The sequence below is a fragment of the Homo sapiens genome, chromosome 1 (assembly GCF_000001405.40).
Source record: "Homo sapiens chromosome 1, GRCh38.p14 Primary Assembly".
NCBI lineage: Eukaryota > Metazoa > Chordata > Mammalia > Primates > Hominidae > Homo > Homo sapiens.
The window spans coordinates 74562592-74578109 of NC_000001.11; the positions used below are offsets into that span (position 1 = coordinate 74562592).

At 38.8% G+C, this 15518-nt stretch overlaps 1 protein-coding gene and 1 long non-coding RNA gene across 12 annotated transcripts in view; one reads left to right on the forward strand and one right to left on the reverse strand.

Moving 5' to 3' along the window:
• Positions 1 to 5531: 5531 nt before the first annotated feature.
• The window catches only part of ERICH3 (glutamate rich 3), a 106221-nt gene continuing 96234 nt past the window's right edge, over positions 5532 to 15518 (reverse strand). For 3 of the 11 annotated variants that reach the window (XM_017000275.2, XM_017000276.2, XM_017000280.3), the window contains 2 exons: positions 14304 to 14345; positions 8508 to 10900 (listed from right to left, as the gene is read on the reverse strand). In XM_017000275.2, coding sequence (XP_016855764.1) covers positions 8526 to 10900; positions 14304 to 14345 — 2417 coding nt within the window. In that variant the 3' untranslated portion in view covers positions 8508 to 8525. Of the gene's footprint in view, positions 7849 to 8507; positions 10901 to 14303; positions 14346 to 14583; positions 15514 to 15518 lie in introns of those variants that run through there. The other 8 variants (XM_017000278.2, XM_017000279.3, XM_017000282.2 and 5 more) reach the window with 5 other exon arrangements.
• The window catches only part of ERICH3-AS1 (ERICH3 antisense RNA 1), a 48669-nt gene continuing 47989 nt past the window's right edge, over positions 14839 to 15518 (forward strand). The window contains exon 1 of the long non-coding RNA NR_121671.1: positions 14839 to 14918. This is a non-coding gene — a long non-coding RNA (ERICH3 antisense RNA 1). The remainder of the gene's footprint in view (positions 14919 to 15518) is intronic.

Sequence of the window (15518 nt, forward strand, 5' to 3'; positions counted from 1 at the left end):
CTTCCTCATGGCATTCTGAGGTTTAAAGAGGAAAGGAGAAAAAGAGGAAAAGTAAAGAGTAAAAGAGTAAAAGCATAATGGGTCAAGATGTGTTATACTGATTTACATTGGCTTGTGAAATAACATTTAGGTCTACTTTTTAATCACAGTAGCTATTCAAACTTGAGGTCAGTGGTGGGAAAGTTTAGCTGCACGTATCAATCACCTGGGAAGATTTTTTTTTTATTGTTCTTATGCCCAACTTCTACCCCCAGAGATTTAAAAAAAATCTCTTCAGGAAAATTCTAATGTACAACCAATACCGTTAATATGCAGGAATTTAGATTTGAGTTTGTTAAGCCAATTTGTGTATGCTTAGATAGGTTTGTAATTTGTTGAATTTTACTGGAGAGTTCAGTGCTAAGTAGGGAGCCATTAACATTATGATTAGTTCAGTGGGAAGAGTTTCCATTCATTCTCAGAGATTTTCTTTTCTTTAAGTTAATGACACAGGTGTGTATGTGTGCATGCACGGGTGTGTGTATGTATGTGTGCAAAATAACCACTGTCTCTCTCTAACTGACCTTGAAAGTCTCAGTGGGGATTATAAAAGGTCAATGACCAATTTCAGTGACCTCTAAGATCCAGACAACCAAAATGTTTCACCTTATACTGCATTTGAAAACTTGTATTTCCATGTTTGCAAAGCAAGAACTAAATTAGCTGTTCTAAAAAAAAACAAACAGAAAAAAAAACACTGAGTTTTAGAGAGTATGTTTGATTAGAAATTAGGATTCTGTGTCTCTGAAAAGAAAATCTGACTAATGAGAAACAGCATTTTGAAGCGAAACAAGCTCTAGACTAAAGATAGAAGTTCCAGTTCTGTTTTTGTCCCTAATCAATGTGTAACCCACTCCTCAGACCCCCTTGTTCTCTGCTTTCTCAGTCTGATACATAAAGGGGAACAGGTAGAATGTGTGATATCTAATGTCCCTACCAACTCTAACGTATTATGAAAATTATTAGTTTTTCTCTTCAGTCAACAAAGTCGGATACTCCATGCATGCTATCAGCATCATTCAAATCTGGGCTTAAAAATGTTTAGAACAGCATATAACAATGCTCCCCCAGTCTGTATGTCAATTCAGGTATTCATTCATTTCCATATATTTATTGAGCATGTACTGTGTGCCAGACACTGCTCTTGGCACAGGGGACTGCATGTGGACCAGAACAGATCACATCTCTTCTCTCGTGGGGCTAATACTGTTCTATTGAAGAACAAATCAGCCTGTGTTAACATGAAATGTAATTGTCAGAATTCTAAAGTTATTTTTCCCTTCATCACGACATCTCACATTTGCATTCTAACAGATGTGACAGAGAAGATGGGAATGGAAAGGAAGGATTGAAAACCTGACTAAAATGAAGCTTTTAAAATAATAGTCTTAAAAGGAGAAGCAAATTCTAATAAATCATCCATTCCACTGAAAGATTAAAGGTCATTTGTTCCTTACTCCAGTTATTTCCAAATCTTTGTGTTTAAGGCACATTTTTGAAAATTAAAATTTCTGTGGCAGAGTGAGGATTATTCTTCATAGTTACAGAACTATTTATTAAGTTGAAAGCACTTTAGAAGAGGTCTGCAGAGCACAGTCCTCAGGCCAAATCTGACACTTTGCCTTTCTTTGTAAATAAAGTTTTATTGGAACACACCCATACCAATTCCAATTCTTGTAAGTATTGTCTATGGCAACTTTCATCCTAAAATGGCAGGGTTGAATATTTGCAACTTTATATCCCACAAAGCCTAAAACATTTAATATTTACAACCTGGTTCTTTACAGGAAAAATTAGCTAATCCCTACTCATTAGCAGTGAGATTTTGTTTGAATACAACCGTTAACTGCCCTGTATTAGTAAGTTTACACACTGCTATAAAGAACTACCTGAGACTGGGTAATTTATAAGGAAAAGAGGTTTAATTGACTCACAGTTCCGCTTGACTGGGGAAGCCTCAGGAAACGTACAATCATGGCAGAAGGTGAAGAGGAAGCAAGGCACATATTACATGGTGGCAGGAGAGAGAGAGAGAGCAAGGGAGAAGCTGCCACACACTTTTAAACTATCAGATTTCATGAGAACTCATTACGAGACAGCATTAGGGGAATGGTGCTAAACTATTAGAAACCACTCCCATGATCCAATAACCTCCCACCGGGCCCCACCTTCAACATGTGGGGATTACAATTAGAGAGGAGATTTGGGTGGGGACATAGAACCAAACCATATCATGCCCTGATGGTGTACTCAGACACACTAGAGGGGCATACTTCCTTTCCTAGAAACAGCTAGACATTATGCTAGGACTCTTCTTCCTTATAGCAACACCAAGCTGGATGACCCACTCATTTATTTTACTGGCAGACATCACTTTAGCAGTATGTAGACAAAACAAATTTTGTACATTAATCAAAATTTTGGCTACTGATTCAGAATGACTGCCAGGCCACAAGAAACATGGCCCTCAGCTATTCATCTTGTCCTTTACACTAGTGGACTCCCAATATTTCTGTTCACATACCTCTGAAAGGGTTTTGAAAAACGATATGCCCTCATATATTTTTATATTGACATGTAAACATTTTTATATATTTAAGTAGTTACAGATGTAACTTCTATTATTTTATAAAACAAGACGCTTTAATATGAAGTTGTTGTATCTTTTTTCTACATGTATCCAAAGAAATGAAAATGCTATAGCAATTCCATATCACCTTTATCCATGTCGTGGACGCAGTGGGGTGCCACCCTGATAGTCTCTTCACAGTGGATATGATCGGCCTCCAGCAGCCTGGGGTGGGGTATGCTACCTAAGTTTCTCCACAGGAATTGCTTTTGACTGAAGGGACCACCCAGTCCAAGATTATGCTTGCTCCTGAGTAGGAAGCCAACATCAAGCGACTGTCCTGTTGTGGGCACTTAGAGGCCTGGTCCTTCAACTGCATTTGGCAATCCCACCTCGAGAGCTCCCCTTTGATGAGGTGCACCTCTGTGGCAACTACAACTCTATCAATCTTGTTTCTTGGCCCATTTCTGCTTTTTCAGTTCTCTACAGTGTTGTTCCCAGGGCATGCCCCAATAAACCTTCTGCACACAAACCTCTAATCCAGAGTGTTTCTGGGTGAACCTGACCTAAGACATCCATTTTCAAAAGTATGTTGCTAAGCTCTACTTTGGTGTTAGAAAAATCTCACGTTTTTTATTTTCTTAAACTTACATTTCCGTTCCACTTTGCCCACAGATTTTTATGCTACTTCGGTATATTTTTATACTTAAAAGTCTTTTACTTCTCGATCTGTCATAATTATCTGCCATTAAATTATTATGTAAATTAAATTTTAATTTAAAAAATTTCTTGTGACCATAGGACTCTATGTGTTAAATCTCTCCTGGACTGGGCTATCATTGCAATTATTAGTAATACACATTTAATCAAAACAACATTTATACTATAAATTTTGGCAAATATTACACATAAAAAGTAAAAGCAAAAATGCATCTAAGATAGTGATTTCTATTTTTAATTTGTTTGTATGTCTGCGAACGAATATTATTTACCGCTGGAATAACAGTGTTCAACATCAGTTCTATTCCACTTTCTGTTTTATTTTCATAGATATAAAAATATAGTAATTATGCATGTCACATAAATAAGTGGATGGGAATGGAAGTCATTTTGTTATATTGTACAACAATGCTCCTATTTGAACTCCTTCCGATTTGCCAAAATTTACAGGCTGATAATATACCAAAAATATTTCAATGACTTATCAGTTGGCAATTCAATCACGTCTTCATTTAATTTTGTTGTAAACAAAGAATTGAAAACCACCTGATTTGCAGAGAGATTTGTTACCCAGTCATTTCCAGGAAGGAAAGTCCTCCCCTATGCCATATTTCACCTTGTTCCTTTGATTTGTGTATTTCTAGGGGTCATTGTATCACAGTAAACTTGGTAAGTGAATGAAGAGTTGGCCTCTATTGTGAAAAGTGGGGGACTGACAAAAAACATTGACTGCAGGCTAGTTCTCAAGTCCATTTTAAGATAAAGTGCATACGGAGGTTAAGCATCTGCAAACTAGCCTTCCCAGTGAATCCCATGAAAAGCTTCATCTTCCTTGGGAGGTACATTTACACCAGTTTGAAAGTCTCTGTGTCTCATTAGTACCAATCTCCTGAACAACTGTGAGATTTCTCACATAATTTATGGGTCCCTAATATAATATTTAATTATAAGTAGATATTTAATAAAGACCAGGAAACATATGAGAAAGCGGCAAGATTTAGACACCGGCTTCTCTGTCCCAAGAATCTTCTGTGTACTGCATTTTCCCTAATTAAAAATGAGGGTATTTCAACCTTCCAAAATATTGTTGAGTCCCACAGATTATTGAACACCTTGAGCCTTCTGGAGAAAACTACAAAAGGCATGTGCCTTCTCAAATTCCAGCATTTTATCTTACAGATTTAGTTTCAGTTATTTTGAAGAGCTTAGTTTCCCTGTCACAGGGCATGCTATTAGAATAAAGAACAAAAAAGCAAAGGAAAAAAAAAAAAGGGGTGAGTTTAAGAGCAACTTTTAAAGAATTCCAGCTGTATTTATTCCCTGTTCTCTTGTACCTCTTGCTGCTGCCCATGGTGTCAGGGAATTATTTTTTAAATGACATAATCAAATGGTACAGAAAACAGAGAGGAAATATTACCCAAGGTCAGGAGCGGCCTCTTCCGGGCTGTCCTTGAGACTGTTGGAATATTTCACTTAATAGATGAATCTTCCTTAAGGCTTTCTTTTCTTTTCTCAAACAATAATTTTTCCAAAGGCAAGAATTTTGGCAAAATTATTAATCTTAGAAGGATTAAGGAACTCAACTGTACTTTAAATTTACAACACTCTTAGAAAAGGCTTAACTCAAGAAGTACAAGCAGAAAACCTAATTCTACCTACATTTCCTTTGATTGCCTATTTTTCTTTTGAACTATTTTAATAATCTCCTTTGTTCTTTGATTGACATTAGCTGGAAATATAACTCCCTTCTCACTGATAGAGGACATACTGAGGAAGTTTAATTTTTTTCCCTTCTACAAGTAAACAAAAACAAGTAGATGTTCACATATAATATCTTAGTATCTATTTAAGATACCTCTTCTTAGAAGTAGTGGATATGATAAGAAAAATTCTAAATTTTGTGTCACATGACCTGAGATTGACTGATTTTTAGACAAGCCACTTAACTTTATTGAGCTTTTGTTCAGTTACCTATAAAATGGTGATAGGTGATAATAATTTTTCTCCCTGAAATTATCTTATGTGTGTGAAAGACACATATGAGTGTAGACGGTCAGTATAAATACATCATATACTGTACTCAAAAATACAGCCCAGTGAAACTTCTCTGCTCTGTGGAGTTCAAATATTGTAAGGGAAGAACACAGAGATTTTAAAAGTTGAGTCTTATTTACAAAGAACCATTCACATGTATCTGTAAACATATGATTGATTTATGTTTTAATAATGAAGAAACAGGAAACAAACCATTTCAGGGGAACATACAAGTAATTTTATCAACATAGTATTTGCAGAGAAAGAATTCACTTATTCAAAATATCACAATACTGAATTTCACAGTTAAATTCACATGCAGATTGTAAAATTATGTTATGGGATGTTTTGATGGAGTGTGTTAAATATAAAAGTAATCCAATGCAATACTATTTAGCACATTGTACAAAACTAATTTTTCAATGGGATTAATACATTTACTATCTTTCCTATAAGGTGTGATGTATTCAAAGTGCTCTGTAGCATTGAGTTTGAAATCAGGAAACAAATACTGTTAGAGCTCCACAGTAATACAGCTCAGTAATAAATGAACTTGAATATAATGTAGATGAAATCTACTCATAAAACTTTAAGACAGATGATGGAGATTTATGATGTGCAGTGAGTAATATCCTTGAATAGGGAGTAGGGCAGAGGGACTTCGTGCATGTATCAATACAATCATAATAAAAATAAGTTTAAGATTGACTCCACCACTTTTATATTGAGTGCCATTTACTAGAGAAAGAAAGACAGATAAATCAGAAGACAGGAAAAGACAGAGAGACATAGAGAGGCAAAGAAAGAAAGTTCAAAATGCCTCTGTAGTTGGCTTTCCAACTGAGACTAATCCTCAATACAATCAATAGTCCATGACAGCAGTTTTTGGACATCAGTGTACATCAGTATTAACTGCAGGGCTTGTTAAGCTATGGATTACTGGAACCCACCAAGAGTTTCTAATTTAGTAGGTAGGAGACAAAGGCTGGGAACAATTTCCAGGTGATGCTGATGTGCTGATGCTTCTGATCAAGGGACCAGTCTACTATCTGGTCCAGTGTATTTTTGATCATTGAATGGCTCCATTACACATTAAAATGGAAAATACCTACTATGATAATATGCCTGGTCCCTAGGGACCTTGAGTGTAATGTGGCCAGCATGGATTATATGATGATTTAGAACAGCGGTTCTCAACCTTGGCTACAGAGAAGAATCAAGTGAAAAGTTAAAAATATATATATACTGATGTGTAGATCCATCTAAAACGAATTAAGTCTGAATCTCTGGGGTGGGGAAAAGGGTTGAGTCATTTATAAAAGCGTCCCATGAAAATCTAATGTATATTCTGGCTGGAAAATCACTGCTTAAGGAAATTTTTTTTACCTTCTCATATAGAGAAATGGTAGACATATACATGCGCTCTGGGGCACTTGTATGTCTTCAGGGAAATGAAAACCCCTAGGAGACAGGCTGATACACAACTAGAAAATAATATCAGGGAGTAATTTAGAATGCAGTTGTTACTGTTGATTTATAATGAACTGCAAGGTTAGTTCACAGGTTTGAAATAACAGAACTTGGGAAGGTGAGCAGCACACTCATTTAATCCAAGTTTCTTTTCCATTTAATGACATCAACTAAAGAGTCTAGAATGTTGGCATAATGCTGATGTGCTATGCTTACCACTATAATTATTATACTTATTCCACTTAGCTAAATTATTTACTACTTTTATTTAAATTTGAGTGGCCCTATAAAGAAGGCCCCAGGGACAAAATGCTGGAAGCTACCATTTTACTAGTCTACCCCAGAAAGCAGAACTACAGAAACACACACAAAAAAACAAAGAGCATTTTGAAATAAGATTTCCACTTTGTTATTCTGGCATAAATTAAAAGAATGAATATTTCTAAGTATAAGTGAATATACATGCCAAGAAATCTTTTGCTGGAAGAACTTAGAGATTTGGAGCAATCTTGAGTTTTGAGTGTACGTGGGAGGAAATTTAGAGCTCATTTTCACAGGCCAATTCATTAAAGCCCCAAACCACAGATTTTTAAATAAAATTCCCATGTATGAAATTGAGATTGTGGAATTGACTGGGGCTCTGTATTGTAAAATAAAAAGGACTTTAAACAAACCCCTAACATTAGGACTGGGCCTTCCAGTGATCTTTGGTAAAAGTCAAGCATCTGAAAATTATCATTTTTGTTTGAAAATAATGTTAGGTGTGTAGAATGTGTAACAGCCTCACAAGTTTCTCCATGAGGAACCACTGCTTCTAAGAAGGGTCCTACAGATCTACTTGAGCTATTCTCAAGGTGCTTACTGAGCTACTGACCAGGGCTGACAGATTGGGAATCATCTCAGACAAGCGCAACCAGCAACTAAAGAGGAGAGAGAGAAAATCAAGAATCCTGGTGAGATGCTTGCGTGAATCTTTCTCCACTCTTTACATCTTCAGAAGACATCTTTAAATTATCCTGAAAAACAATAAAAAGGATAGTAGTACCAGGATAAAATCACTCACAACAGTAGAAACAGGACTAAGAATGTGAGGGCCTAAAGGAAATAGCAGAATATGCAAAAAATAATTTTAGTTTTTAGTTCGACTCTTCAAGATTTATATACTTAAATATTTTACGTATAGAATGTAAAACATTTTATATATGTAAAAACTTTGCGAAACTGCAGAAATGAAAGCATAGGGCCCACTTAAAGGCAAATGATAACAAACAACCTTCATCTCATCCTTTAAAACACTAAGGTGGAAATGAATTGTGAAATATAGTTTAATTCTTTACTTCTGTGGCCTGTCCTCTGTGGCACATTCTCCTCTGTATTTTCTCTTTGGGGGTCCTATCTGGGAGACACAGATCTCACTACTTCAGGGAGCTGCCTTGCAAAGACTGAATATGACTTGCCACACCGGGAAGAGCAGTGTGTCCCTGTGCATGCTTTGGCCCCTCCTCCGTCTTTCCCAGCCCCTTTCCTGACAGGCTTAGGGCTAAGTGACACAGAATTGAAGCCTGTGTGTTTATATGTGCACAGACACCAATAAAGGGACAAGCCAGCCCCAAGGGGAGGAGACCCACCGCAGGGCTGCTATTTAGTCCTACAAAGACATTACGCTTAAACTCACTGTCTGCCAGCAAGTCTCCTAGACCTGCACGTTGTTGGGGGAAACATCTGCAGTCTCGCTTTCTCCTTGCACCATATGCTGTTGCTTCTCTCGGGTTTCAGTGAAATCAGGCTTCACTGGAAGTGTTGCCATCGCCTGTAGACTCTCCGGACTCAATTCCCTCTCTCCCTCCCGTGATAATCCTAATCGGAATTTTTCAGCTGCTCCTGTCTCCTGCCTCCCATCGCCACTCCCAGTGGCTGCCTCCTGGCCCTCTGACCCTTCCTCTTGCTCCTGTCCTAGCCCTGAGGTCTTCCGCTCCAGGGCTCCTGGAGTGCCCACCCCAGCCTCTGTTGTATATGTCACTGTCATCTCCTCTGCTGCTGGCACTTCCTCCCCACTCCGTGCTAATTCCTCTACCACCACCTTCCCTGCAGCTGCTGTTTTTCCTACTAACTCATCCTGTTGGTGCCAGGTTTCTTCCTCAGCAACATCTGAAAAGGAGGAGGCTTTATTTGCTATTGTTTTCTCCTCGGCTGTCTCCGAACCTGCCAACACCTCCCTCTCCTCTGCGGCTGTTTCTGCCGTTTCACCACCTCCGTGTAGAACTTCCACAGCCACAACCCTTCCTCCTCCCATGCCCTCATTCTTTTGTGTGTTTCCTTCTCCTTCCATGTCCCCGTCCCCTTCCGAGTTCCTGTCCTGCATCGCTTCTGTCTCCAGAGTGCACTCTTTGTCCTCTTCCTCCTCTGGGTCCTCATCCACCGCTTCCTCCCTGAACTTTTCTGCCATTATGGGATCTTCCTCAGCAACAGCTTCCTGGGTCCTTAGCACGACATCCACTCCTCCTTGCCCTTCAGCTCTCCCCTCCAGTCCTGCGCAGGAGTCGTGATCTTTGGCTGCTAGCTCCTCTGCCTGGCCTGTGGCTGGGATCAGCCCCTCAGGGGCCTGCACCTTTCCTGCTGGCTCAGCTTCAGGAGCTGCTAAGGCCCCCTCTCCATCTTGGCGGTGCCCTTCCTTCAGGGCCCTATTCTCCCTGCTGGACAGCTCTTCTCTGTCTTTGTGCTCTGTGTCTCTGGCTTCACTCAGTCTTTCCCCTCCTCCTTCTTTCCTCAGAGCTGTTATGTTTTCCAGCGACTTTTCAAATCCAGGCGTTGCTTCAAATATGGGAACCACTGTCTCTTTTAGTGAATCTTCTCCTAGAAGCCCTGGATTGTCAGACAACTCAGAAGCCTCCACAGGTGCTTCGTTCTCAGCATCAGATCCCATTTCATTTGGGGGAGCTTTTGTCTCTTCCTCAGCTCTTACTTCTGTCTCTGTTTCCCCTTCTTCCGCTTTAAGTTTTTGCTCTTCTTTAAAAGCATCTTCATCCTTGAGTGCATTTGCCCTTGTCACCTCTTCTCTCTCAGAGTCAGTTTTCCTCAGAGATGTTTTTGGCCTCTCAGCTTTCCTTCGCTCTCTTGCTAAATCTAATTCCTTGGGTAAAATTTCTTTCCTATCATCTTCCCTATTAGCTTCTGCCTCAGTCACCATCTCTTCCCCTTCCACATCTTCCTTGCAAAGGAAGGCTTCCTTTGCAAGGCTTCCTTCCTCAGGGCTGCCCTCCGAAACCTGCATCCGGCTTGCCTCTGCCTCTCCTGTGAAGGGGCTCAAGCGTGTTTCTGTTCTCATAACCTCTTTTCTCTCTTTGGCTGGTTCCTCTCCCCCAAGAATTGCCTCTTCAGAACCGTCCTCTCTCTTTGATGCTGTGTCCTCCATGGGTCCTGTGTCCTCTAGGTCTATGGATGCTTCCTCTTCACTTTCTCCGACATCACTCACAGCCACCCCACCCTCAGCCTCTCCCTCCTCCGATGTCGCTGCCTCTCTCAGGGCTGCTACTTCATGAAGATGCTCCAAGTTCAGGGCTGCTGCTTCATTTGCAAGCACTGCCTTCTCTAAACCCTGTTCCCCTTCAGAAGCTGCTTTGTCTGTCTCAAGCACTGTGAGCATCAAGGCTTGCTTTTCAGGAGCCTCATCTTTACTCAGACCCACAGCATCTTTTGCTGCTGCTTGTCCTATGGGGTCTGACCCCCCTTCACCCAGCCTTCTGACCCCTTCTGCTTCTGCTGCTCCCTCTGCCCCCCTTTCTATGCCTGGAGGGATCTCCCTTTTTTCTGTAAACTCTTCTGCCAATTCTGGCTGCTCTGCTGTTGGCTTCCACGCCCTCAAGGGAGCCTCATGAACAGCTCCTGCTTCTCCCCACAGTGCTGCCTCCCCTTTTCCCTGTACTATGTCAGCATCTCTGTGCTGGGGCGCTTCATCTTCCTCCATTGCTTCTTTCTTCTCCAGTGTATACGTTTTTTGCACCAATTGCTGGGATTCCTTGTTTGAGTTGATTGCTGCTGTTTCATCCACCATGAAATTCATTGTTGGTGCTATAAAAATAAGGTTAGAAATCAAGATTACTTTAATCCAAGCGAACAAGGGAGGGGACACTATAATCTTATATCACACTTATTTACAGTGTGAGATATTTATATGTGATATCAAGAGGCCATTGTATTATATATAAAACACTTTCTCCATTGTTTCTAGGATGCTGACTATAACATGCACCATGACTTAATAATGGTTTTTCATTATGAAAAGAAATGTCTTCAAATTTAAGGAACACATTGATATTAAAGAAAAGCTGATCATCAGAGATGTTTAAAATAAGCAGCAATAAGCAAAAAAAATCTCATGTCCCCATGTCTTGGAATCAGCAAAATCTCCACCTCACTCTTTCTCTTGGCTTCCTCTTTCTCTCTCTCTCTCTTTCACATACATACAAGCTTCCTTTCTTAGAAATAATAATAAGTGGAAAAAATTATGCAATAAGAAAAATAGCATTTAATCTTCATATAAATTATTATTTTATTTGTCTCTTTTTCTCTCTTTTTTTTTTTTTTTCAGGCAGGGTCTCGCTGTGTCACCCAGGCTGGAGGGCAGCAGTGTGAACGTGGCCCACTTCAGCCTTGATTTCCTGGTCTCAAGCAATCTTCCTGCCTCAGCCTCTTGGGTAGCTGGGACCATAGATGCATGCCACTATGCCAGGCTAATTTTTTTGTTTTGTTTTGTTTTGTTAGTAGAGACAGGGTCTTTCCATGTTGCCCTGGCTGGTTTCAACTCTTGGATCTCAAACTCCCAAAGTGTTGGGATTACAGGTGTGGGCCACTGCACCTGGCCCTGAACTCATTATTTTCTGTAGCAGCATAATATGTCTGTCTTCTGCATGTGTTTCTGGTACTCACATGGGCCTTTAGCAACACAATCATTATACAGTGTGAACTGATGATTCTCACTCCCAGATGATAAGCTACTATATCTAGATTTAGTCATCACAAATTGAGTCTTTAGTAAAAAGTCTTACCTTGAGCTACATAGGTAAGTCTTACCTTGAGCTACAAAGCTACAAAGACACCAATTTGCATTACCTCTCACCTGTGTTCAGAAGCTAACTTGCCTTTGGCAAGACAGGATCACAAAGCAAGATAGGACTTTGCAGACCGGGACAGTTTTCAGCATAAATAATCTTCTTAGAGTACAAGTGTTCACCCATAATTTCCTGGTAAACCTGGGTGCACAAGCTATCATAGTTCATAGTTCAATAAATATAGGTTTGATATGTTTTTAATGGAACAAAGTGGATTTTTTTACTATTAAATAAAGTTATATATATGTTGCAAGTAAAATAAGTAAAGAAAGGCATGTCATGCCAAACACCTAAAGCATTTCAATTTCCCAACTGCAGAATAGAGGTTAGGGAGCTAGAAGCTTTGAAAAGGTTCATCTTAATAATTTATATCAATTTAATCTTTTTTATTAATTAAAAAATCACTGGACTAGATTTTATAAAATAAGTTATCATACCAAGATGTCAAACTCTAACTTAAAAAAAAAAAAACTTATAAAGTAGGCAAGTATGATGCTCCTCATTTGTTTTTTACTTGCTTGCCTTCTTGGCTAGCCATCTTACCCCCAACATCATCACCAACAACCTACCAGAAGCCTGAAGTCCTGATCTTACTCACTTCTTCTCTACTTTATACCCCATCCAAGACTGTCTTACCATTTCATTACCGCTTCTAACACAAAACACGGTTATCGTTTGTTGCATTTCCTCAGTCTCTTGCCAGCTATTATGATAAAGCATTTTGAGGTAAAGCAATAATAGCTGATATTACATTTCCCTTAAAATGTGTTTGGAAGGTAATTTGTGATGTCTCCTTTCAAAGGAGTAAAATAAAAATTTCAGGTCTATCAATAGGGCTGAGGTTGACTTTACAGGTCATCCTCTGCTTATCACAGCAGTTATTTCCTAACTTTTACCTAAAAGCTTCCAAAGCAAAATGTAGAATCAAATATTTGTTCACAGAACATATAGCCAATTCACCTGAGAGAATATGGTCCATTTTATTTCATTACAGATTATTACCGTATTTGAAACAAAATTAAATTGAAACAATAGGAAACAATAACGTGTGTCAAGTCTCTTTAATAGTGTATCTGTTGCTATTCAAATTCCTGCATGAAAGTATACTAAAAAGTCAGTTATAAAAACATTTAAAGAAAGTCTTCTGTTTTTCTAATCTGGTTTCTAAATTTATGGATTAATTAAAGAACATTCAGGGAAACAGGGAAATAAAATTGCCTAGCCACCATGTAGTAATATATTATGCCTAAATTCTAGGAGAGAAAGTGCTAATGGCATCCAGCTGAGATGTTATATGAACACAACACTATAAGGGTGTCAGACATGACGTTCCTCAAGCAAGGGAGAAAGAGTAATTGAAGCTTTTCTAAGAAATATTAGTATAAAAACATGACTTTTTTTTATGGTAACCCCATGGGCTTTTGAAAAAATATTTAATATAAGAGAGCAAACAATATTCACAAACAATGGCAATTTGATGAAGTGGAATGAGTGTGTACTTGGAAGTCAGACTAACCTGGGTAAAAAACGCCAGCTCTGCCATTTACTAATTGTATAAACTGGGAAATAACACCTCTCTAATCTTTCATTTTCTTATTCATGAAATGGGAATAGCAATGCTGTACTCACAGAATCCTTTGACAGTAAATGAGATAATTTATGTAAAATGCTTAGCATAGTGCCTGGCATAAAGAAAGCCCTAATAATCTTCCTTGTGCACACCTTTCATTGCTTACAAATAATTAGATTTTCTTGCTTGAATACAATTTGATCAATAACAACCAGTATCTCTGCATTGCAGAATAAATATTTGGGAAGGTGCACCTGAGTTCCTCTAGTTGAATGCCCATTATAAAAGATATGGGTTCTCTAAGATCATGGTGCCTCTCCTGTAAGTCAGCCCGCTGCACAATCAAGTGTTACCTGGCCCTCTTCATGTTGCCAAGTGAGAAATGGAGCTCAGGGAACCAGCATAAATACAGGTACTCTGGCTACTGCTATTTGCTATGAACAATAAAGTCCTTTTTCTCTGACTCAGGTGTCTTATGTCTTCTGCCATGATCCATAAAACTGTGGCTGGCTAAGTTGTTGCTTGAAAGAAGGGTAAAATCTCAAATGCCTCACAGTGCTTGATGACAATTACTAAAATTGAAGGTGGGATAATGTGACCATATGATGAATAAATGAATACCTTTTCCTGCCACCATACACATAAATATATTCAAATAAGCACACTTCTTAAAAGTCATTCAATAAATACTAGAAAGCCTAGTGATTTCAAGAACATGGGAAGTTTGACCAGATTTATGAGTCATGGTCTGTTGGATCACTCTAATTGGACCTCTTGCAGATGGAATACTTACCACCAAGAGCCAGGACATAGGCTAATGGCAATGAATCCTTTCCTAGTTAAAAAAAAAAAAAAGAAAAAAAAGGTCAAATGAATCACTGTGAAATGTACCATGGTTCTCCATCTCTCCAGTTGGGTCAGTTAAGGCAAATTCACCTAGCTGTTCAACTATCTGGGAGGCAGGCTATTGAAAGAAGACTGATCTGAAAATTCCTACCAGTATTGTATAATCTAATGTTCTTTTATTTAATCCTAGACATCAATATATTCAAAAAATAATAATAAATTTATACCTGATGTTAGCTGTGAAGCTCTCCTTAGGGCCTGTCAACTACTTCTGGCCATTCTATTCCTTAGTTGAAAGAAAAAAAAAAAGTGGCAGAAGGAAGAAACAAGAATAGGAAGGGTGGAAACAGGCCGTCTTTTGCAGAGGATTTCTGAAGGTTCTTCCTAGGTAATGATGTGCCCTTACTGCCACTTGTGTCAACCTCCAGCTTCCTCGGTGGCTTCCCACCCTCATCTTCACTGCTGACACCAGACTCAGCATCACAGTGGCAGTGGTAGCCCAATGCCAAGGGTTCTGTTATTATCTGTCCAGCTTATTGGAGGTCACATAAAATATCAAAAGGTATAAAAACAGGTCATGGGAACATTGCTGAGCTATTTCACATCATTTAAATAAGTGGGGTCAATTTAAGTGCATTTACATTAAAAGGTAGCCTTGGTTTAAAAATCTCTGAAGCATAAACAACTCCCAAGCTATGATTTCAAAAAGAAAACACAATACACAACAGAAGATCATGAAGTAAAGAAATCCATGCAGAGAAATACTTGCATTAAAAAAAGAGAGAGAGAGCAGCCAGGAGCAGTGACAGATTTGCCAAATGCACATGCAATGAAATAATTGAAAAAAACAGTTTAGTTGCATTTTCCCTTCTAGGAACGTGTGCTATGGCTTTTATGACACCAATCATCACTGCTTTTCTAAATTGCTAAAACTACTAGAGCTGACTAAACTATGAGCATTTCATCCATTAGTAGATTTTAGTGATTTGACCCCAATATTCACTCCATGGGGACAGAAGCAAAAAAGCTATTACACGATTCCTATAAATTTGACAGTAAAAGCTATTGTAGAAATTCCTGAATTCCTGTTATCTGTAGTTGGTTACTAGCATAGACTTCAGGATCACAGAGACCTAAATTCAAGTCTCATATTACATACTAA